Raw genomic sequence first — 26,039 nt, 5'->3', positions numbered from 1 at the left:
ACCACGCCAGGCTATTTTTTTTTTTTTTGTATTTTTAGTAGAGATGGGGTTTCACCATGTTAGCCAGGATCGTCTCAATCTCCTGACCTCATGATCCGCCCGCCTCGGCCTCCCAAAGTGCTGAGATTACAGGCGTGAGCCACTGCACCCAGCCCACCACCCTTCTCTTTAAAAATTTTCTAATGGATTCTAACTCTCCATAAGACCATGTCCAAACTTCTTGACAAGGTATTCAAGATTCTTCCAACCAGTCCCAATTCTATCTACCCAGACTCATCTCCCACAGGGGTTGTTGTTGCATGAAGCCAATAACTCAACAACTGACCTGTTTTCAAATGGCCAATCAACTTTAGTTATTATAACAACATTTATTCTGGAAGGTACTAACTCCTTTCTCCAACTATTGTCATGTATTTATTCATTCAACCAACATATATTGGTCACGATTTTAGACATCACGGATATGGTAATAAACAAATAACAAGACCCAGTTCTCTTATTTTAGTGGGAAGACAAGCCAAAAAAGCTAAAACTAAACAAAATATATACTTTGTTAAATACTGATAAACACTAAAAAGAAAATAAAGCAGAGAAACAGGATAGAGTATACCGAGAAGGAGGGTCAGGACATAAGGAAATAAGTGACTAGGGAAGACCTCACTGTTTAGGTGCTATTTCAGCCAAGAGCTAAAGGAAGTAAAATCTTCAAGTGTCTATCTAGGGAATGAGCATTCCAGCTAGAGGGAACAGCTAGGGAAAATACCATGAGGTAGTGTGATTATTTTATTTGAATGCTGGGAGAAGGCCAGTGAGGCAGCTTAGATTAACTAAAGGGGACACTTGTAGGGGAATGATTTATAAATTTAATAAGCGGGAAGAGCTTTTAGGGGCTTAAGAGTTTCAATTCTTCAAAAGATATGGGAAACTGGCTGGGTGTGGTGGCTCACGCCTGTAATCCACTTTGGGAGGCCAACGCGGGTAGATCACCAGGTTAAGAAACCCCATCTCTTGGTGAAACCCATCTCTACTAAAAATACAAAAAAATTAGCTGGGCATGGTGGTGCGTGCCTGTAGTCCAAGCTACTCAGGAGGCTGAGTCAGGAGGATCACTTAAACCCAGGAGACAGAGGTTGCAGTGAGCCAAGATTGCACCACTGCACTCCAGCCTGGCGACAGAGCAAAAATCCATCAAAAAAAAAAAAAAAAAAAAAAACGATATGAGAAACTATCGAACTGTTGGAATGGGTTATGAGCAGAGAAATAAGAAAACTGATTTTTTTTTTTTAACAAGTTCACACTTAATGCTGCGATAAATTAAGGATAACTCCAAGCTTTTAGCTTAAATACCTGGAAGACAGAAGGTGCACCATTCCACTATATCCAGTGGCTGCCTCTGCAAACCCTTTTGATTCAGCCACTTTCATCCATCTGCACTCTCACTATCTTAGCCTAAATCACCATCATCTTTTAATCTAATTTCATACAATATCATCACAAACATCATCTCTTATCCCCGCAGAGTCAATTCGTTTTGCAGAAATTAGGATGATCTTCTAAACATACAAAGCCCCACAATGGCTTACATACTGACTTATAACTTCTCATGACCTGCAATACTCTACCCTATTTCACCATTCTCTTCCTCTCTAACATCATGTCTCTGTCTTTATGACACATTCTAGAACTCTTTTCCATCCTTGGATCTCTATATACTGGACCCTCTGCTTAGAAGCCATCCCATCTCCAAATCTTTTGAAATGATTATTCCTTCACTTCTTCTGACCTCACCTTTATCGGTAAATCCTCGGGGAGGTTTTTTCTGAACATGCTGTCTCTAAGGCATGTTAATCCCTGTTTTTCTTCTATAAACAACAATTTATTCAACTGGTATTTACTGGGTGTCTATGCGCCAGATACTGTCTTAAGTGCTATTCTTTCCTGCTTTTTGCATTTATTCCAATTTGTGACTATATTTCATATTTAATTCCTGCCTCCCCAATTGAACTACAAACTCATTAAGAGCAAGAGCCAGGCATGTTTTGTTCACCATTGTATCCTTTCTGATATGTGCCAGGCAATCAAAACATATTTGTAGAATAAAAGTTTAATGTCAGCAAACTATCGCAAGGACAAAAAACCAAACACCGCATGTTCTCACTCATAGGTGGGAACTGAACAATGAGAACACATGGACACAGGAAGGGGAACATCACACACCGGGGCCTGTTGTGGGATGCGGGGAGCGGGGAGGGATAGCATTAGGAGATATATCTAATGCTAAATGACGAGTTAATGGGTGCAGCACACCAACATGGCACATGTATACATATGTAACAAACCTGCATGTTGTGCACATGCACCCTAAAACTTAAAGTATAATAATAAAATTTTTTAAAAAAGAATAAATGTTTAATGTTATTCAGAATTTGCCGGGTTTTCCTTTAGGCTTCCAATACAGAATTTATTTCATTAAAATTGTATATCATAGGTAATTATATATAGCTTCTTTCTCTAATAGCATGCAGCTTACTTGAGACAGAAACTATTTCTTCATCAGTATTGTATCTTTCAAAAGACTGCCTGAGAACTTTTGTAATTATACATGCTTCTTGCATTGAAGTGATGACTGAGTGTAACTTTGGGGTTTTCCCCAATATGTAAACTGAACATGACTTAGGAGGCTTGACTTTATTTTATATATATATATATATATATTTATTTATTATTATAATTATTATTATTATTCTGACGGAGTCTCATTCTTTTCACCAGACTGGAGTGCAGTGGCATGAACTCGGCTCACTGCAACCTCCGTCTCCTGGGTTCAAGCGATTCTCCTGCCTCAGCCTCCCGAGTAGCTGGGACTACACGCGTGCACCACCACGTCTGGCTAATTTTTGAATTTTTAGTAGAGACGGGGTTTCAACATGTTGGCCAGGATGGTCTCGCTCTCATGACCTCGTGATCTGCCCACCTCAGCCTCCCAAAGTGCTGGGCTTACAGGCGTGAGCCACCATGCCTGGCTGACTTTATCCTATTTTAAGAGTACGTATAAAATTACTACGATTTTTGGCCATTTCCAGAAATTTAATAACAAAGTAGATGTACTTCCATGCCTCAGATCCAGTGACTTCCCACTATAATATCAAAACATAGTAAATTATGTTCTCTAGAAGACTATCAAATATATCCTGCTTTCCTTACCAAACTGATCTTATAGGACAGTTTCCCTGTCTTGTCATGAAGTCCAGCCCCACTGACCTTTCTCTCTAACCCTGCGCTATACTGAGAACACTCTCTCTTCAAGCCTGTACCCTGACCACTCTTCACTCAGAATGCCCCTCACCCTCCTGGCCACCGTTCAAGCTTCTTCCCCCACTTCATGCTCCAATTCAAATGTCCCCTTTCCAGAGAGATCTTTTCAGACAGGTCCATGTAAAGGGTTCTTTCCTTATCTCTCTCCAAAGTTACTCTCTCTATGCCATTGCTCCATTTATTTTTTCCTTAACAACTCACCATTAACTGAAATTATCTTTTTAAAAAATTTACAAGTTCATGGTTGATCTCTCAACTATAGACTATAAGTTCAGGGCAGAACAGATGTTGCTGTGTTCACTGTTACCATCTTCTATGCCAGAACAACGTCTGGAATATAAGAGAACATGCATAGTAAGTATTTGTGAAATGAATGCATTAATATGTACATAATTAAAATATACCACTGATATTTATTATAAACCCCTGACCAGTGTATAGCTCTTGAACTATATGCAAGCTAAAATCCACAAGATATAATTAGGAGCATTTCTAAATTCTAACCTGGAAGTCTTGTAAGTCCACTTGTGTGGTAAGGAAAGGAGGTTTTCTGGGGTAAAGGGTGATAGACTTTAACCTGAGCAATGAGTTACTGGATTTGCAGAATTGGGCTTCTCTCCTCTGTGGGTCTGCAGGAACTAGCATACTTCCCTGTTCCTGGGAACAAAGCAACTACAATAGTTGCTTGTTGACTTGATCTTCAATTAGAACAAAAACCTACACTAGGACATTTCCTGCTATAAATTCCACCATCACTCAAACTATATTTAAACCGTATTTACTTATTTACAAGTATCATTTAAATAGATGAGTATAAATTCTTGTCGGCTAATTTTCAGTGATTTACTGAAACGCTCTATTTAAAAATGTCAAGTGGCCATTAGCAGTAAACCTCCCAGAATTTATCTGCCATAATATTCCTGCTTAAATATTGTCATTGCATTATTTCATTTTATTGGTTTATATTTAAAGAATCTTTCTGAAATCACTGAAAGTTTTTAATAGCCATTCATTCTCAGTTTAAGAGATTAAAAGACATGGATCAGAGGTGGAAGGGGAATGAACACTCCACAGACTTGATACAGCATCACCATAACTAATACCCAGTAGGGCCTGCTAGAGCCACGTTCACACTTGAGTAAGACTGAGGCAGTTTCTTGTAATGTGCCACTCTGGGTCAGGTTAAGCCGAATTCGGTCCCTCTGAACACTTTTATAGACTCAGAGGGCAGTTGTCTGGCACCTTATTAAATTCACCTTGTTTCTTTTTTCCTATAAATCATTTCAGTAATCTTCATTAAATCAATGTACCTGAAAGTGGAATACTAATATGATTATTATCATATTAGTAATATTGTAAGGCATTGCAAATACCACTAAAAACACAATCATGTTTATTTCTATTTCATATTTATTTCCATGTTTTTTTTTCCTCTTGTTCTATCCAAATACATCGTGGTCCCAATGACTGTTAATCCTTCTTGAAAGAAGGATTCAACTACCTGGTTCGATTTAGTTTTTTTTCCATAAATAAAAAGAGAAAGATGGAATTACACACACTCTCACATTTGCAGTTCAGAGTTTTGTGATCAAAACAGAGCTTTCATCATAGAATCTCATGTCCCCGAGTATTTGCTCAAATTATATGGATTAAAATATTTTGAAAAAAAATTACCTATCCATCTTTGAAAGGAGACCTACTTGGCAATGAAGAACTACATGTTGCTTCTGAGGAATACAAATTGTGAATTAGATGGATCCTATTTCTCTGGCTGTAATGCTATTTGAAATATTTTAAATATTAACAACAGTGTGTTTCTCTCCTAGAGTGCATGCTACTGCATCTCTCAAAAATGACTTGTGTAACTGAGCTGCTGATGAAAGCAATGGTGGCCTTCTATAATGGTTGTCATTGATTGAGCTTCTACAATGGACTAGTCTCTGGATTTAATGCTTCATGTAACTTATATCTAATCTTCAAAACTCTTTAAGGTAAATATTATCTTCACTTCACCATGAGGAACAGTTGGGTGACTAACTTAATTAAGGTCATGATCCAATGAAGGTCACGGCTAAGACGAATTCAAACTCAGATCTTTCAGACTAATACATCATGCCATAGGTTCTCTAGCTTGATCTTACATCAGAATAGTCTGGTGGACTTTTTAAGACCCAGATCGTTATGCCCCACCCTCAGAGCTCTTGATTCAGTAAGCCTTGGGGAGGTTCTGACTTCGTACATTTCTCTGAAGTTCACAGGTGACGTTGATATTTGCATTTCCTGAACCACATTTTGAATCCTATCATTTTCCTGTACTATATGCTCTGAGTTAGAAGGTAGGACCTGGGAATAAGAACCAATCATTGATTTTTCTCCAGGAGTTCTACTTATATTTTTATGAAATTTTAAATATACCTGTGTAACATTTATCAAAATTTTCACAGATACTTCTGAAATTTCAGGCGATTTTGGCTCTTTTTCTACTCTTCTCAATTTTTTGACTTCTTCAAAATTAGCACATGCAATTTTTATTATCAGTGAGTAAAAGCTGATTGCATTTAGGAAAAAAATATAACAAAAAACTCAGAGGTGTTAGATATTCAGAGGACACATCTCAGCACTATTTTAGGGAGGGGAATATATATATCCACATACATATATACACATATAACACACATATTATATATGTATGTATGCACCATACACATATACACACATATCTGTATCTATAAAACAAAGGTTTTATTTTTCAGCTTAACCTTGGTTAGTTAGGACGATGTCAGTTCAAATTCTGAACCAGCCGCCTACTATCCATTTAGCCATGCCAAACCAATTCACTGCTCTAAATCAGTTTCTTTATCTGTACATTCAGAAAACCAAACTAGAATAATACATCTCATAAAGGACTTTTAAAAGACTAGGTAGTCTCAAAAGTTCGGTCGAGCTCTATATGCTGTACTAGTATAAATCCTCCTTTCAGAATTTGAAGGAGAAAAAGACATTTTATGATGTGAGGGTCATTCAGATGAGACCAGAACAAACTGAAGTGTGGTTAAAGGTGCAGGGCCAGTTGGCCAGAATGCCCCTGCGACAGTTTTACATTTTTAAGTGATATCATATTACATAATAATAGCACATGACTATTTCTATTCTGTGAATTATAATTGCTAAAGGAAATACCCCGCTATTTATGAGATGCTTAGTGCATCTGTCACCATGGCCTTCTGGCCCAAATCAAAGTGATCGGAGCTATTAAGATGATTTCCCTATTTGGCTGGGTTTTAAAGACTATAGTTTTGAAGTCAGTGGCAGATGACCTACTAATGGTGTTTAATGGTTCTCTCAACAAATTGTGAAGTACCTTGAATGACCCACTGGTTAAGTACGTAAAAGGAAAATTCCAGCTTTAATCATTTAATCTTGATTCCATCCTATTTTTCTTTTGGACAGTGATGTTTATTTTCACCTTTAAGGAAGAATGGGGAGATTTAAAAAAAAAGGGGGAGGGAAAAGGTAATTAAGAGTTCTTGAGCACTGGGCTAAACATTTCATATGAGCCATCTCATTTGGTCTTCACAACCCTATAGAAGAAAGAAAGGAAAAGGTACACACAACTTGCATAGCTGAGGTCACACAGTCAGGGAGCAACGCAGTGGGATTTGAATGTGATATATTAGAATCTAGAACCCAAGTGTTTGGGTGGTGTTTCCTAGAGAGGGAAATGCAGAGATTCTCTCTCCACGGTATGGGTGGCTAACAGGGCCAGAATACAAAGCCAAGTGCACTGAAGCCTGAGATATGACTCACTGTGGGCCCTTGATAGATGTTTTTTCTTTCAAAACAAAACAAAAACAAAAAACAAAAAACAACAGCAACAAAAAAAAAAAAACAAATATTTTTGAGCACTTAAATACACGAGCATCATAAACACACAAATCAGAGTGTCAAGAAGACATAAAAGCCAATGCAGCAGCCGGGTGCGGTGGCTCAAGCCTATCATGCCAGCACTTTGGGAGGCTGAGGTGGGCAGATCACTTGAGGTCAGGAGTTCAAGACCAGCCTGGCCAACAAGGTGAAACCCTGTGTCTACTAAAAATACAAAAAAAACTAGTCAGACGTGGTGGTGCATGCCTGTAGTCCCAGCTACTAGGGAGGCTGAGGCCAGAGAATTGCTTGAACCTGGGAGGCAGAGGTTGCAGTGAGCCGAGATCTGCAACCGAGATCTGAGTTACACCACTGTAACTCCAGTCTGGGTGGCAGAGTGAGTGACTCCATCCACCCCCCCCCCCGCCCCCCCCCCCAAAAAAAAAAAAAAAATAAGCCAAGGCAGCAAGACAACAGATTCAATGCCCAGGCAGACATTAAGGGGAAATAAACAAAGAAAAGTTTGAGGAGGTAAAACTAACCTAGAGCTCATATACAGAGAAAGCATAACACAAAGCAGGGATGGATGGATATTTTGGCTGCCCCAGCCTAAGCTGCTTTGCTCCCCTTCTACCTTAGCAAACCACCTAACCGCTGGGCTGGAAACAAGGGGCAAGTTGTTGGCTGAGAGACCAAAGTTAAGGAACGTTAGAGCAGACAAATTCATGGCAAAAAAGTTTCTTACCTTGAAGCTGGTGATAAATTCTCAAGGCTTATGACTGCAGAAGGGGAAAAATGTCTCCACTCCATATAAAATTACCTTCAAAATAACTTCTATGTGATTCCTGTCTGTCAGCCTCCAGATAGAAAAGGAAAAAGCAGGCCAGAGAGAGAAGCTTCAGGAATGACACCCATTTCCTTTTTTATCCTGGCCTGAACAGCCCCAAAATGCCCTATATTTTTCTTTGTCTATTTTCATACACAGGCCAAAAAAATGAGTTTGCATCTTACTCTTGGATTATCTTTTTTTTTTTAATTTTGTGAATACATATCACAGCTAGAACTGTAATATAATTTCCAGAGAAGAGCATCAATTTTTTAAAATAAAAATCTTTTCTGACTTATCTAGCAATTTTCTAGTCCCTTCTTGTAAGGTCATTTGAAAATGGAGAATTTATTTCAGGGGCTCTAAATGCACAGAGTAGTGGCTTTTTATCCTAAGGAAGTGACTTGGAAGAACAAAACAGGAAATCAGCATTGCAGGTATGTTCTAGATTTTAGTGTTTTTTTTTGTTTGTTTGTCTTTACAGGAAGAAATTCCTCTAAAAGTAAAAAGGATACTTGAAAACAAAGATTTGAACAACCATAAAAAATAAGTTGTCCCTTGTCTTAGTCTGTTTTGTGCTACTATAACAGAATAGCTGAGACTGGGTAATTTATAATGAGCAGAAATTTATTGGCTCACAGTTCTGGAGGCTGGAAAGTCCAATTTTAAAGTGCCACCATCTGGTGAGGGCCTTCTTGCTGTGTCATCAACATGTTGGAAGGCAAGGTGTCAAGTGAGCAAGAGAGCATGAAAGGGCTCAACTCGCTCTTTTATAATGGCATTAATCTCACCCCTCAAGGCAGAGCTCTCATGACTTAATCATGCCTTAAAAGTCCCAGCTCTTATACTGTTACAATGGCAATTAAACTTCGACATGAGTTTCAGAGGGAACAAACATTCAAACCATAGCACTCCTATATGGCTAAGCCCTGAATGATCTCGTTCTGTGTCTATCAAAAGAAAAGAAGGCAAGGATCTAAAATGTCATTTAAGTCAGGATTTACCTGTAGAATCTGTCAATTCAGGCCTTTCCTGAATAAGCCCATTTCTTCTTTTGGGTCCTAACTATATTTCAGTGTGCTGGTTTTTGTACTGCCTGGACTAGTTTTATTGTATTAATTTTTATCTGTATTTAATCTCCATTAGGCTGTATGCCAATCCATTAAACAAATATTTTATTGGGAATCATCTATGTGCCAGAAGACAAACACTGTTTTTATTCCTGAGGCTATAAGCATAGCAGATCATCTGTTAAGATAGAATGAGGACTTGTTTCTTATTTGATTTTTGTTTTTCATCATATCATAAAGTGGGACTAATAGAAGTACTTATTTGGTAAGATTTCTGTTAGAGTCAAACTAGATTACATAAGCAAAGTTCTTAGCCTGTGGCCTGAAGTGTCATAAGTGTTCAACACATATTAACTATCATTACTGCTAGTAGAGTGCCTGACATACACCAGAGGTTTTAATAAGTATTTGCAGAATGAATGGTCAAAGATTGGTTGCATATAGTGTTTAACACAGTAGTGACCTTGCTTATTACAACTGGTTATATCATACATACTAACTGGTCCCTTGATTCCAGCCATTTAATAGGTTCTAGGTAGGTTTGAATATAAAGTGAGGTGACACTGAAGTAATTCTATTTTCAAAGACAAGTCATCCTGCTAATTTTTAAGCAGATACATTTGAAAGCCACATGGCATAGCAGAAATCACTGCTGATTGGAGAAAACCTAGCACCCTGATGCAGCTTCTTCCTTCAAATAGATGCATGTTATTGGAATAGTCACTTCCTAGACTTCCCTGAGTATTGTTTTTCAACTGTACAATAAGGAGGGTAAACGAAAATCTAGTTATTTTCCTCCTAGTATTAACCATCTGTGATTCTAAATCATTTGTTGGCTTTTGGTTTTTCCCCTATAGCTATCCTAGGTTGTATGGGTAAATGTAATTAACATAATAATGATCATTGTTAACACTGTCTGAGGACTTCTAAATGCGAGACAACTTGTTAAGTGCCTTTACATGGATTTTCTAATTTAATACACCCAACTAACCAAAAGAAAGTAGTATTACCTCCATTTAAAAGAAAAAAACAAAAACGAAAACCCTGAAACTGAGAAATGTATTCACTTGCTCAAGGTCATATAACTAAAAAGCAGAATTAGGGCATCTGACCCTTAACTACAATATACTTTACATGCAGTATATTCTACAGACATTCTACAACAGTGAAACAAATAATATTCAGCCTGGCCCCACACAAAGTTAATTGATTTTAAACTCCTTTCACTGATTGGTCATTAGTGAAATGAAGTCATCATTTTAAATTGGCCAACTGTATATCAATTGATAAACAGATTTTTTTTTAAAATCTCTAAATATCCCATAAAAGAAAGCCTCGAATGACAAGTTGCCTTTGCAAGGCATAACATTCTGCTAAGGAAATATTATTCCAACTGCTCTCCTATTGCTTCACGTTCTATCAACTTAATGGAAGACAACTCTAAGCTGACAGTCTCAAAAATGTAATTCACAAAATTTAAAAAACTTTCCTTTTTAAATAAGTCTCACATGCACAGATTCCACTTGTGGGCTCTGAGTCTCAAAGCTGTTGGGAACACCAGGAGGGGCATGAGATATTGCAAATGGCAGGGAACCTATATTTCTAACTGGCCACTGAAGCTGTGTGTTGGGAAATAAGGCATAGGATCCTGAATAAAACCTCCAAACATTATTTCTAAATGGAAACCATTCTTTTTGACTCAGCTGCCATTGGAAGGCAGTAAGGCCCTATTTTGATAGTGTATCAGTGAAGGCCTTAAAGTTAATTACAGCCTTGTATTTACTCTAACTCTATTATATGATATTTATAGATGAAAAGAAGATGCTTTAATCACTGAGATAGTTATAATGTGCACTTATCTCGTTTTATTCACACCGTGGGGGAAAACATGTAATTGTGTAAAAAAAAAAAAAATGAACAACTTCATCTATTCTTAAATTCCATAACATGCATTAAGTGAATCCAAGTTATTGTAGTAACCTTGTATGTCTAGTGCACTGTGCTCCTCATTTTTCTAACATGAATCATATTTAAAAGACTTCCCTATTCTGAAATGGTTAATTTCAAATTTTCTCAAGGTATTCTCCTCTGAGCCCCATTACCAACACGATTGTCACTGCAACATGGCTTTACTGACACATTGGTGTTAAAAGGCAGTGACAGAGCCAACAGGAGTGAACTGAAGCCATTTATATACACTGTAGAACTACACTGACAATCCAAAGGAACACACCATCTGCATTCTGTGTTGCTGCAACCTACTGAACTGTGGGTTTGCAATTTCAAAATTCAGAGTGTCATGCCCGATTCCACTTTAGGGAGCTCCCACAGCTGCTACTTTTGCTTCTCTGCCTTCAGAATTCTGATGCTGAAGTTAATCTATGAGGACATCCTTGTGTAGTGATGGAGACATGGCGGTAGGGCATGCTAGAGTACCACATATTTTCATGCATTTATTTATTCAAGCTGTGTGGCTTTTTATCCCCTCTTCCCTTTGCAACTTATCAACCTGAACCCTCAGACACTCACACCCACACAATGATCTCAGCAGGCAAGGAGGAAAAGCAAAAGCAAATGCACTTTAGGGAAAGGAACAGGAAACCGACACAGAAATGGCCATTACAGGACATTTCAATTTTACCTGTGGTTTCAGCTTCTGCTCCAAGTGCATGCGATGAATGTGGCCTGATTACCTTAATTCAGTGATATTGGCAATAATCACAATGGCAGGCAGTGCCTAAGAGATTGCTCTTGACAGTGGAGTTACAGAGATGGAGATGTGGAAAATTTCCGTTGAGCACAACACACAAAAGGAATAATAGACAGATGCTCAGGGATCCATTTCCTGATAGAAAGGTAGATGGCAAGAGAGCTCAATTCTCTTAGTGATTAACTGTAGGGTTGATGAGTTGGTCTTTTCATGGTCTCCTCTAGCATTATGAGTCTCCATTCTATGGTAGGATGAAAGAGCAACTAAGATATGTAACCGCCACAGAGACAGTTTAGTGCTGATTTGACTTAGAATTGAGAAAGGAAGGTTTTAAAAAATGAATAAGAATTAAATATAAAATCAATTGATGTCAAAGACAAAACACCAATGGCCATTTCTTGAATAGGAAGAATCATGAACCTACTGAAGGGATCCTTTCTAGTTGCATTATTGACTGCTGAGAGGAAGCAGATTTTCTGCCTTTGATGACCATGGCCATTTTAAATTAGGGACGTCTACTGGTTTAGGGGAATTGTAGATGGGATGAGTGTCAAGGGTTAATGATACTACAAGTTATCAATGTGATAAGAAAATAAAGGCTGAAAAGTGACCAAGGGATGATGAGGAGAGGACTGAGACATAAGAAGACATTGGTATTAGGGGGTGTGCAGAGGAAGGCTGGGACATTGTTGACTGTGTGCTCTTTTTTTGGCAACAGTCTTAGAAGAGCATAATTAGCCACAATAAAGCAGAACTCTTTACACAGTTATAACTGTCTTATGCAATATGAGTACCAGATTCTAACTGTAATTATCAATTTAAATTCACTTGTTCCAGGCTTTTCTCCATTGCAATGTCTCAAGAAATTCTTCACAAGCTTTAAAAAGACAGAAAAATATTGGTCGACATTATCTGACTCTACGGATTGTACTCAAGGGAATATCCTCTACAGAGTTTACTAAAGTGAACTTAATACACATATACAAACATGTGTGGGGATGTGTGGATATGTGTGTGTATATATTTGTACCTATGTATATGTATGCGTATACACACATGCACAAGTAAACATGTATGGATACTCATACCTAACTGAAAATAATATACAGTGAGCTTCTAGAATCTGTCTTTAATCCCTCTTCAGAAAGAAAGAAAGAAACACTTAGGCAGATATGATTACAAGAAAGGTTTAATTCCAGATCCAACCTTACACAGTGTTGTGGCCCCAATACTGCATCTGCTCATGTACAACTCTGCACTGGAATGGTCATTGATTTGTAGTAGGTTGGCTATATCAACCAGAGTTTGGGTAATTTATCCATTGGTGATCTTTCACAATTCATTCATTCATTCTCTCACTCAACAAATATTTATGATGCATCCATTACATGCCAGGCATTGTTCTATCAAGTTGTAGGGATACAGTACATATCTCTGCCTTTATGAAGCTTACATTCTTGCAGTATATAGATGAGTAAATAAATAAGCAAATAAGCAAATCTTAGATCAAGAAGCATGAGGCATGATAAAAAAGAACAGGGAGTGAATGGAATGGCAAGTGGGGTACACAGAACTTTATATTTTATAGAGAGTAGGCAGGAAGAGATAATGTTTGAGCAGAGACCTGCAGGGAGTAGGGAGTGAGCCATGCTAACAGACTTGTTCCAGGCAGAAACAGTGAAATGCAAATAGACGCTTTGGACCCAAGGTCTCTATTTCACAAGGTGGATTTCTATAACTCTAGCTATAATTGTTCCTAATTTTCTTTTTCATTTAACAAGGATGGGAAATGTAAACAGCATTTGTTTACCCCCACTGCTTGCATTCTATAGAATGCCCACTCCCAGAGACAGCCCGTCCACTTCAGCTATTCATTCTGTTTGTTAGAGGTCTCTGTCTTTCCCTGTTTCTCCTTCACCTTTGTTTTAGGAATAGGAGGGATTCTCTAGCTCCTGAAATACTCATAAAAAGGGTCAATTTTCAAGTTTAGCACACCTTGAAAAAAATCATCCTCACTATACCTGTTATTGACTCTATAACATGTTTCTAAACACTTTCTGTTTTACTCTATTAAATATTATTTCATTTATTCATTCCATGGGTATCTTTGTTTGAGCTATGCTTAATCTCAATTCTGTGAATACCTCCAAAATCTGCTAAAAGAAAATTACGGCATCATATGTGGGGCACCTTGCATATGACCACTTGTCAAAGAATAAAATATAGAAAACCAAATTAATAGAGAAAACAGTCATGTTATCTAATTATCTGTGAAATTCTTGGAGCAGATTGTTTAAACATAAGTTAACAAACATATGATACCACCTTACCTACTAATTTTGCAAAAATTATAAAATAATGATGCCATCAAATCCTATCCACCTTGTCATTGAATTACAACTGTAGTTAAATTACTGGTGTAAAATGATAAAAGTCATTTGATAAGCAGTTTGATAATGTTTAAACAACCAAAAAAGCATTAATACTTTTTGATCTAGTAATCTCATTTCCAGAAACTTACTCTAAATGTATATGAAAATGTTTCTTGAATGTTATTTATTATAGTAAAAAGTGGAAGGGACCTAACTAACCAAGAAAGGAATGGTTAAGTAAAATGTAGCATATCAACTCAATTAATGGTGTTTAATGATTAAAAAGGAAAACATTTAAGATATGTAAGACTGAGGTATAACTGAAAAAAGCAGACAGAAGTGTAACTTTTGTATAAAAATCTATTTTTGTATAAAAATGTATCCAGATAGATAAGTACTTCAGTGAAAATGAAAAAAATGAAAACTATTAATTTGTTAGAAATGGGTGACAGGTAAATGTGTATATCATTAATATATATTAAGGCTACATGTAGCATATCTTTATAATAATACATATTAAAATGTTATTATTGCTTTAATATTACTTATACATTTAAAAATATAATTTTAATGGCAAACAAATTGTTCATCAACTCTGTGAAATTGTATTAGATGGTGATGTCCTAGTTTTGCAAAAATTTGTCACGATATCTTTAAAACGACATCCATCTCATCTTATGTAAAGATTCCAGGGCTCTTAACTATGTTAAATCACATATTAAGCATATTTTCTCATTTCTCCAAATTCAAGATTTTAATTCTCTTTAATGCCCTATTTTTAATTAGAATGTTGCTAAATCCGTTGACAGTCTTACCAACTATTTTAACAGCCTTTTAATTTGTCATCTATAAAATAATAACTCTTCATTAACTTTGGGAGACACAGCATTGCAGTTGTGATATATCATTCCTCATTTTATTAACAACCTACTTAATGAAATTCAGGCTTCAAGCAGATGATAGTGATAATGTAAGCACTTGCCCTGGATTTGTTTTTTTTCCTTAACAAAATTAAGAATTTACTGATAAGCATAATAGAAGAACAAACATTCAATTCTGTAGGAATGCAGGTGGGAAAAACCTAAAAAAGAGATTTTGGAGCCCACACTTGTATAATTAATATTCATATCAGTCCTTTCCAAAATGCCCAATTTCCTTCCAACATTATTTGCCACTCTATATGGCAATGCTGAGAGGATATGTTAGTCATTCAACATTTATAAACATAACCCTTTTGTATCGGGGTGGGGGATGACATAATCCGGTAGAGGGTCTTGCTGAGCATGAAAATGAGACTCGGGACAGGGAATAGGTGGAGGAGAAAGGACACTTATTTTGAGGACATCTGGACGTTCTTTACTCCAAATGGGATTGATTCACCTTTATTTGTACATTTAAACATAGTTGCAGTTTTCTCTCACCAGAATTTTCTTACTTTAGTACTAATTATTTGGAATTAAAATGACTACATATATTCAAGGATCTACCAAGTCAGTTGAAGAGCAAGAACTGAGTCTACATAGAGGCAGAGATAGAGTGAATGATGGGAGAAGGGCAATCATTTATGCCTCTTTTGATCTCATTTTAGGGGAGGAAATGGAGGCTTAAGGTGAATAAGTGACTTGCCAAGTGAAGTACATTGGTGTCACAGACTTAATAATAAATGCTATAGGCCATATAGACATTTGGTCCATCTCCCTGGTTCAAATGGTTCTCCTGCCTCAGCCGCCTGAGTAGCCGGGATTACAGGCACACACCACCACACCCAGCTGATTTTTGTATTTTTAGTAGAAACAGGGTTTCACAAATTTGGTCAGGCTTGTCTTCTCCTGAGCTCGTGATCCACCTGCCTCGGCCTCCCAAAGTGCTGGGATTATAAGGCGTGAGCCACCGCTCCTGGCCCATATTAGTGTATTTTATGTATGGCCCAAGACAATTCGTTTTCTTCCAATATGGCCCAAGGAAGCCAAAAGATTGTACACCCCTGGAATTCTTGCATCATGGTCTGAAGAACATAGATGCCAAGAACAGAGAAAATTGAGCCAAGAGTCAAGGTCAGGCTGGGCACGGTGGCTCGCACTTGTAATCCCAGCATTTTGAGAGGCCAAGGAGGATGCATCACTTGAGGTCAGGAGTTTGAGGCCAGCCTGGCCAACTTGTCGAAACCCCGTCTCTACTAAAAGTACAAAAATTAGCCATGAGTGGTGGTGCGTGCCTGTAATCCCAGCTACTTGGGAAGCTGAGGTGGGAGAATTGCTTGAACCCAGGAAGCAGAGGTTGCAGTGAGCTGAGATCACACCACTGCACTCCAGCCTGGGTGACAGAAGGAGGCTCCATTTAAAAAAAAAAAAAAGAGTCAAGGTCAAGGTTTCATGAGGGCAGGGCTATCCTGTCGCTTGATTCTGCTTTGCCAGGGTCCGGTCTGGAAGGGCATGTGCTGAACCCTCCGAGAACACTGCAGTTTAGACCAACAAATTTGAGCAGCATCACACAAAACTAAAGAGATAGTTATGAAAGATAACTGTGGAGAGAAAAAGCATCTCTCACAAGTTTTTTTTTTCTTTTGTTCAGGTTTATGTAGCAAATGTTATAACACACTGAGTTTAATTTTCACATAAGACCAATTTTTCCCATAGGAATCAGAAATCATTTCTTTTTTTTGTTCGTTTCTCATATCATGATACAGCCCTCCCTAGGAATGATTTGTTGTATAGGCAGAAAGCTTCCCACAGATACATCGAAAATGAGACAGAAAAGGAAGTCCTGTCTGTGTCTCTTGACTCCATTTTTTTTGTTCTGGGAATGTCTGCTTTGGACTATGATGCAAGAGCTCCTTCTGACATGAACTCTAAGCAATATTTGACAGCCGGGGCAAGTGGAGACTAACAGTAGACCAGACCAGATTGCTATAAAGCATTGTATTTATTGTTCTAATGGTCACCTGATTAAAACACATCACATCTGTCAAATCATGTGATGGTATGCACAAACTCTTTAAATAATAGTTTAAAATTATGATGTTATGTATGTTCATGAACACAAATATATAAGTACATGTTTTATTGTGTTTAATATGTGTAATATGTTACATGTGATTTATATAATATATATCTAACATACGTATATTTATGCACATATGTGTATGTATACAACAATATATGCATATGGTCAAGGGAAAACAATTAAGCCTGTGATTATGCTTACAACTCCAGATTTCCTAGGATGTAGTCCTCATGATGCTATTGCAAAGAAATTGAGGTTTAAGGGATAGTCATATGACCTTAAAAAATTCCCCCTTAACTAGGCTCCAGATAAAATGACATAAGATCCCTACATTCATACAATTTAAAATTGGTTTAACAAAATATCATTACAACAGAATGATGCATTTCAGAATATGATATAAACGGATTGTTGCATATGTGGCTGAAAAATTTAGAATATGATTTGTAAGTAAAATTTAAATTTTGTCTTAAAAAGCATTTTTGATTTTAGATGCATGCCCCAAACATTTATACCTATATCAAAACCTGGCCTACTCGTTCTTTTATTACCTCTCCATTAGCATAATTTTAAATACAGATGTATTCTGAAGAAATGAGTGACATACACAAAGATTTATGTAAAAGATGTTCACTGAACTATTATAATATGAAAAACGCACGAAAACTAAAATTCCATTGGGAAAAAGATTAGATGGAAAGTACAGTGTGATATATCCATATGACAATGCCACATCATTGTTAAAGAAATCATATTCCAGAAGAACAATTTAAGGAAAGCATTCATGACAAAAGTAAAATGAACAGAGTAGTATATAAATAGCACATATAATTCCAATTTTGAAAATACATTCCACATACACACAAACAACTCAAAGGCTGGGAAATAAATATGCCAAAATGATAAAAACAATTGCTATTCAGCAGTAAAATGATAGGCTATTTTAATTTTCTTCTTTATACACTTATTATTTCCAAATTCTTTAAAATGGATGTGAATTATTTTTATAACCAGCAAAAAGGAGTACAGCGCAAAGTAATTTAAAAGACTCTTTAAAGACTAATCCTTCAAATTACCTAAAACCTCATCTGGCACCTGTCCCCTGCTCCTCAATGAAGCTCGGTTATGCAGTCATGTTCAAATGTCCAGTGTCCCCTAAGCCCTGGACCAAGCCAAGTGCTAATGAACATGCTATTTTCCCAAAGTAAACAGTGAGATGAGGACAGGCTCTGAATACTGAGCACTGTATGCTAGATATTTATTGTAATTATTAATAACACAATATTTTGATCTAGAGGATGCTTAATAAAATAAGAATAAACTGGGTTCATACTAAGTCCCTAGCTGTTGCAGGTTCATTTAGGTCCCAGCATAACCATTATTTACATTTAGTATAAACTAATTTACTGTTATTGTCATTTTTATTAACGTCATCAATTCCTCTGATTCATTTTCACACATTCCAGGGGAATTAACAACACTAATTTTCCAGCCTATAACTTGTATGTAACAACCAAGCCTGGTGTATATCTCTCAGACAAAATTAATTCTTTCTTATTTTAGTTGTTTCAGGTTCAATCCTGATCAAATGAAATTTGAAACTCTATTTGTTGTTTTTTTTGTTTTTTGTTTTTGTTTTATTTTGTTTTTTCCTGAAACACAAAACCTCCTACACAGGAGTTACTGCAACTGCATCAAATGAAAGGCAAATTCATGTATTTATTAAGTTTTCTCTGAAAGAAACACATTATATCCAAGGGTGAAAATGCTTTTTTCTTTTTTTATTTTTTGAAAAAAACAAGTGCCAGGTGATAGCATCAATAAACACTAGCACTGTGTACTCTAAGGAGGACTTTCTACAAATGTTTGTAAACGCTCCTTTTGGCTCTGAATAAAGCAATATACTGGGACAGCCACAGGAGCATGAGTGGAGCTGTGAGAAGCTATAATCCGAATATGCTAAGAAAATGTAAGCAAAAAATTGCAAATAAAACTGCTTATATTCATGTAACTTGTTTGGCGACAGCCGTAGAGCATAAGGAAAGCTGCTATAACTCATAACAGCATCTTGTAATAAAACAGCTCTATGCATCCCTCTCAAACTGCTCAGTGCTCACATCTCATCAGATGGCTGAGTAAGCACTACGCTTTGGGACAGTAAATCTGTTTCCAATATGGTCTACATTCACAGATACGCGCTTTAGTATTCACCCGAAGACACTTCCAGCTAAGTACTTATAAAGAAAGGGTAATCATATATTTAAATATCAGGATGCTATTTTCTCTGTCTATTTTAGTAATCTAGTTCACACTAGAGCAAACCTAACTGGATCTCAGGAAACCTTCAGCAAACTCAACTCTGACTCGCAGCACAAAATCTCTCCTACAAGGGTCTCCGGGAAGCCTTGGCTTCTCCTCCCATAATACCGTGCTTTTGTCTACCAGGTCATTTCTCTATGGTATTGGCATAATAAGACTCTTTTAGCCTCTCCTGGAGTAGCTTGTGGGTTTCCTGAGAGCATGGACTACCTTCTTAGCATCTGTATCCCCAGCTCCCAAACAAAACTAGGGACAAAATGAACCTTAAGTGTTTTTTGACAAGAGTGATCTCCTGCGGCTTATAGTCATAGCCTGGTTTTGAGGTTCTAAAGCCTTTCCATAGCCCTAAGGTTTGAAAGGGGTGAGGATAAAGCACATAGCAGAGGTTTTTCCAGCTGTTTGCAGACATTCGTTTTTCTGAGGGGTTCATCTTGGTTTGAGCTTTGGGAGAGATTGCGTCTATTCTATAGATGTTCCTTGGCTTAACGAATAAACCCATCATACGTTGAAAATATGTTCAGTCAAAAGTGCATTTTCGACTTACGATATTCTCAATGTACAATAAGTTTATCTGGACTTAATCCCATCCTAAGTCAGAAGTGTGCTGAATGCATATCGCTTTTGCATCATAGTAAAGTAGAGAATTGTAAATCAGGGACCACGTTGCAGTATCAACCCAGTGGGGTCAGAGAAAGGGAGAGCGGCCATCTTTGTTCTTTCCATTCTTCTTTCTGGTATCATATTCAAAGCAAACTTACCTGCTTCAGTGTAGGGATACAAAATAGGAGACTTCCTAGAGAAGACAAGGATCATTCTATAGGAAGGTGATTTGTGATTTGTTTTTTGTTTTGGATTTTTTATCATTTAAACCTCCCCCCCACCCACCCCACCAAACACACACAATATAGATAGAGATTGAAGTCCCTACAAAATTAGGTAATTCACAACTCCAGGCAATTCTAGTGATACTTTTATTAAGTGTCAAGGTTGGGCGTTGATGATTCTGAGCTCTGAGCAGGAATGCCCTCCCTAACCTTCACCCCCAAAATGGTTTCCCTTTGTTCGTCTCCAACGTGGTAGTTTTGTATGTGTGTCTTCACGTTAGAAACTAGAGAAATGGAAACACTGTGGTCTCAATTCTAAGCTTAATCCTTGGCAGACTTCATTTCTTAGAGAGAGAACACCACGAGCAGAGCCCGACAGCATATTTATATGAGGAACATGGTGAGATTTGGGCCACAAGCAATGCTGCATCCAGCCAAGTGATAAGCAGAATTCACAGCTGGAAAGATGTTGGCCCTCTTTCTGGGTGAACACAGGCTGTCTCTGCTGGGCAGTGCGGCCTGAGGGGAACACAGCACTCTTGGAGGCTGCTGGATTCAGTCTCCTGGGCTGAGACAGCACATCTCACAGGAGGTCCCTGTCAGTGCATAATCATGTCTGAGCACAAGACGATTTTCTAATAGAGCTGAGGAGTTACAAAGTAATTTAGGCATTTCACCCACAGTAAAAATTTGGTGCTAATAAACACTCTTTACAACGTATTTTGTCATCAATGAACTTCACCCCTAGAATAATACTGGGTGTAGGAACTTTGTCTAGGATACCAATTGTACAGAAGATGACTCTGGCCCACAGAGACTTGTCTGAGACTTGTCCCATGTTGCATGGCTCACCGTGATCAGGATTAGGCTTAAAGTTAGGTCATCCTGCTTCAAATTCTGTGCTTTTCTACTGATTTTAAGTGTTTCAGAAAATCTGAGTTGCTGAAAGATTAGTGCAGAGGAATGAGTGAGGAAGGAGGCAAGAGGTGGAGAGACGGGTGTCTGGGTTCCTTGGCAGGCCAGGACTTTGACTTACTCTGATCCTTTCTCTCTATTCACACAGGAAACAGCAGGAGAGAGACAGCGGATGAAGAGGTCTAGGCAAGGATGGGTGAGGACGCAGTAAGGAGCTGAAAGCTGCACCAGGCAGAGAATGGCCCACCCCATCACTTAACAAGGGTGAGGAGGTGACTAGGGTCTCCTTTTGTTCAGAGAAGGGAAAGGAGCTAGCCACAAAAGATAGCAACAGCAAAGAGAGCCAAGGACCACAGTCCCAGTGTTAACATTGTATGGATACTGGAGAGCAAAGGAGAGAATTTCCGGCTCGTGCTTTCTACTTTTCTTTACTCTTGCTAAAATAAAAACAGATTTTTCTTTTTTTACTTAATGTGAATCTCAACTCTGAATTTAGGGGAAGGAACAATGGACCTCACCAGCAGGTGATGTTGCTGAATGAATACTGAACTGGGCGGTGGGAGTTAGGGTTCTTGCTCTAAATTTAGGAGCTTATGTTACTTTGATCACCACCTAAGCTCCCTGAGTCTTAGTTTCCTCATCTGTCAAATGAGTGGCTTGAAACAGATGGTCCCTAAAGGTTTGTTCGGTTCTGATATTCGGTGGTCGTGGCATTTTTGAGAGTTTCCATACCCTCATCCTCTATGGTTTCCAGAGAAATAGCATCTGTCACATCAATGACACACCATTTGTATCCCTCCCTTTATTTTTCTCCTGCTAAGGTGTTTTAATCCTGACAGTATAATAGAATAAATCACAGACATCAGAGATGGGAGTGACACTGGCCACACACATTAGAGATAAACAGTCAAAAATCGCTCACCCGTGCCTTCCCCTTTGCCCACAGCCTCTGCTGTCTGACAACACTAAGCTTGAACTACAATTTCCATCTGGCTGCACAGATCTGAGCACCAAAATAGCCCTCTGCATTGTCTTAATAGCTGTAATGATACTCTGCCTTCCAGCAGCCTGCCTGTCCAGACCATCTCAACACACGGATTTGATTTCTTCCCTCTGGCCAGTGTTGCGGGGAGTATGGTTTTCACATAGTCAGTCAACAGACTTTCTTGCACCTAAGATCACCAGCCACTGGAGTGCAATAGCTTGGGTTTGATTCTCTTTCCAGCCCTTTCATACAAGTTACCTGCACTTGGTCAAGTAACTAACCTCTCTAGGCCTTGGTTGTCCTTAGCAGAGTGATGATTTTCATGTACCAACTTTACAGGGAATAGTGAGGCATACAGTTAATATTCAGTAAATATTATTCAGTTATTAACATTATTGCTACAAGTCTTCTGTATCTGTGTTAGAGAAAGAGGGTATTATGGTGTTACAGAATTGGGAAAACGAATGATGGTGACAGAAAGTTCCAGAAAGACACAGTTCCCAGAATAATTGGTGTGGGGACTATATAAATGATACGAATAGTTGATTTTAATGATGAGCCCTTATCCACTGTTTTGTTTTGTTTTCTTATCACTTGGCTTAGCTGGCATCCCCGCATCTATCTGTTAAAGCTGCCTGTGAACAAGAAGCTGTGATGTTCCGTACAACCAGGGATGTGTGGGTTTGTGGACAACAGACGATTTTCTAGTTGTTGTTTTTTTTTTTAAGATTCTTTCCCCTTACAGAAAAGGGGCTCTGATACGCCTGAATTAAATCACCTTTCAAAAGCCAAGAAACAAATCATCGTCCCCTAAGGATGACTGAGGAGCAAGAAGCCAGTACTTACTGTGTGTCTCAAGCAAGCTGATAGAAGCTAGAGAAGACCATCTGGTTTGAGATAAAGTACAACAGTGCCGGACCCACTGCTCTGCTCCAGAAAGCAAGACTTACGGAAAAGGGCCACGATCTGATTGAAACGTGCTTTCATTGTGCTCCACAAAATAACCATTGCTCATATCTATAATTCTTACCGAATCGAATATAAGGAGCAGGCTACTGCCTTTAGCGTTTGAACAACTCCGAGTCTCCAAACTTCTGTCAGACCCACCAACACCTCTTCTAGATATTGGGATGCTGGTTCCCCTTAAGCAACCCTGGGTAGCTTTTGTTGTCCCTGTTTCCACTCTCACCATTTTTGCATTTGTTTCCCACTGAGAAGCCAGCGACTTCTTCAGTAATGTAAATTAGATTATATTGCTCTGGAACTAAACATCCTCCATGAAATCCCATTGTCCCCTTAGCTCTGCTGATCATAATCTCTCAACCTCAGTTATTCCATTTTTAAAATGGGGATATTATTGAATGGATACTTGTGAGGTGCACTGGAGGATCCCTGGCACCCAATGACGTACTCAATGCAGGGCATTATTGTTATCATTAACAAAACAAAACCTCTATGAAATAAGATGCCTTCTGTTCATTTCATCCCTGACATAGTCCATGAATAAAATGTGCCGAATCCCTGCCATAGAATGCTGAATGCTTTCAATTCTGTGAAGGACGGAAAACAAATAGCTTACAGTATTTGTTACCACATCATTTAAAGTTCTACGAATAATCATCCTCTTGAGATGTAAACTGAGATTGAACAAAAGTAACTTGTTCTCACAGATATTGTTTCTATATTTCCTGGTTTTTTAAGCAAGCTGTCTGAGTTTCCTGAGAAGGGTTGATAAAAAAGACCTTGTAAAGATGTTCTAAAATCTGAGGCTGAAACTATAGCATGTGTTATTATTACTGTTTTCGTTAGCCACTGAGTAAATATGCAAGGTGGGTGCTTATAGGATCTAGAAGAGAAACAAAATGCTTGTCAGCTTTCACTCAGGGATTGGCTAAAAATACACTGTGACATGCAGTGCACAGGTATGTCCTAGAAAGCTCTCACAGTGTCCAGACGGCAAAGCTGCAGCTCTGGCTTTGTTTGGCAACAAAGATCACTTAATCATACATGAGTGAGTGGGAGATTCAGGCAAACCTGAACGAAAAACCTTGCCTTCCAATATCCAGTGTCCTTCCCAATCTACCCTGGTAGGACAGAAATCGCACAGGGGGAAAGGTTGCCTTTTGGAGAGGAGGAAAAGAGGTATGGTGGTCAGGGATAGTGCAGGGAAGGGCCTTCAGACTGGCTATGATCCCTCTCCGTGCTCATGTATGATAGGATCCCCTGTTCAACAACTATTTATTAAATGTCACGTACATGGCAGTGTGGCTGGTTCTAAGGGAGATAGAAAGATGAGTGAGGCACTGTCTTTCAAGGAATTTACAGGGTATGTTTATAACTTCCTATTCTGCACTTTCTGAAATCTGAACTGACAGCTCTGAAGAGGGAAAAACAGTATCAGGTTTGCTAAGCATGTGTTTAGAAAACTCCCATGTACTCAAAACAATAACAGCAACAAAAAAATTCAACCAGGATACTCCATAATATTTTTGCAACTGTCATGTAAATCCAAAACTATCCTAAAATGAAAGGTTTACTAAAATTCTTTAAAAAAAACAAACAAACAATCCAAAAAGCAAAGAAAAAAAATCACACAGTTTCTTATGGAAAACAAAATAAGTTACAAATATTCCCTAAGTACCAAATCACGTCTGTAACTCAAGCTCAATGCCTTCTTTTTAAATCTACCATTTCCCAAGAAGTCCTGCACTACACATCTGCCCTATAGATAGTCTTGTTTTGTTCTACACAGTGACTTTTAAAAATGAATTAGCTGCCAAACGTCTTAACCCAATTTGTATTGAAAGGAGAGGCTGAGACTGAGGCTGTGAACAAGTAGTTTACTGGGGAAGCGATTCAGAAGAGCAAGAGTAAGGAACAGTGGCAGAGACAAGGAAAGGGAAAGCCAACACAAGGAAGAGTTATACAGTTAGCCACTGCCGTTGTGGGTGCCTAATCATGATGGTGCTGGACCTTCCCAGGAGCCTTAGGCTGTGCATCTCAGGATGAGGGGAAGAAGCATTTATCATCAGCTTCTTATCTTCTGGCTTCTGAACCCATCATTCAAGGAAGTCCCACAGCTGCTAACTTTCTGCACTTCATGGGTTGCGTATGTGTAATTGTCCTGGTCCTTAAGGGCATTTAGCACATTATTGTCAGAAAAATCTGAAGCCAGGATGTTGTGCCAAAAGCCTACTTAAACTGTTCCACAAGTGACCATTACAGAACCATTTTAAATCTGGGGATTTTATATAAAAATAAATCCAGATTGCTCAATTTTCTTGAGGAACTGGGAGATCTAGCAACTCTACACCTGAATTCCCTGGAAGCACCAACCTGCCAGCCCTGAGAGACACTGCCTGGCCATACAGACTTCAAATCAGAACAGTCCCCACCATGACGCATAGTTGACAACCTGGCCTATTTCCCCCGTTTATCTTACCTGCCTGGTCCTTGTGAGTATGGGACTTTTCACCTTTACTTAGCTATTCATAGTCTCGATACATATTCACATTGAAAAGGAGATACAGACCCACTGTCAGGCCTCTGAGCCCAAGCTAAGCCATCATATCCCCTGTGACCTGCAGGTACACATCCAGATGGCTGGTTCCTGCCTTAAATGATGACATTCCACCACAAAAGAAATGAAAATGGCCTGTTCCTGCCTTAACTGATGACATTATCTTGTGAAATTCCTTCTCCTGGCTCATCCTGGCTCAAAAGCTCCCCTACTGAGCACCTTGTGACCCCCACTCCAGCCCGCCAGAGAACAGCCCCCCTTTGACTGTAATTTTCCTTTACCTAACCAAATCTTATAAAACGGCCTCACCCCTCCC

At 38.4% G+C, this 26,039-nt stretch overlaps 1 protein-coding gene across 9 annotated transcripts in view, besides 2 other annotated features; it reads right to left on the bottom strand.

The window, feature by feature from the left end:
• TENM2 (teneurin transmembrane protein 2) overlaps positions 1-26,039 on the bottom strand; it is a 1,285,129-nt gene that overhangs the window by 934,740 nt on the left and 324,350 nt on the right. The gene's annotated exons all lie outside the window — the stretch shown is intronic.
• Positions 23,087-23,921: an enhancer, noted in NCBI's record as "OCT4-NANOG-H3K27ac hESC enhancer chr5:166732502-166733336 (GRCh37/hg19 assembly coordinates)". NCBI's record gives its function as "activates a minimal SCP1, AML or CMV promoter by ChIP-STARR-seq in primed H9 embryonic stem cells {active_cell/tissue: H9 hESC(primed)}" and the evidence as "EXISTENCE:reporter gene assay evidence [ECO:0000049][PMID:30033119]".
• Positions 25,509-26,024: an enhancer, noted in NCBI's record as "OCT4-NANOG-H3K27ac hESC enhancer chr5:166730399-166730914 (GRCh37/hg19 assembly coordinates)". NCBI's record gives its function as "activates a minimal SCP1, AML or CMV promoter by ChIP-STARR-seq in primed H9 embryonic stem cells {active_cell/tissue: H9 hESC(primed)}" and the evidence as "EXISTENCE:reporter gene assay evidence [ECO:0000049][PMID:30033119]".

This window comes from Homo sapiens, chromosome 5 (assembly GCF_000001405.40).
Source record: "Homo sapiens chromosome 5, GRCh38.p14 Primary Assembly".
Classification (NCBI taxonomy): Eukaryota; Metazoa; Chordata; class Mammalia; order Primates; family Hominidae; genus Homo; species Homo sapiens.
The sequence above is the reverse complement of the archived record's forward strand: the minus strand, read 5'-3'. Positions and strand labels throughout refer to the sequence as shown.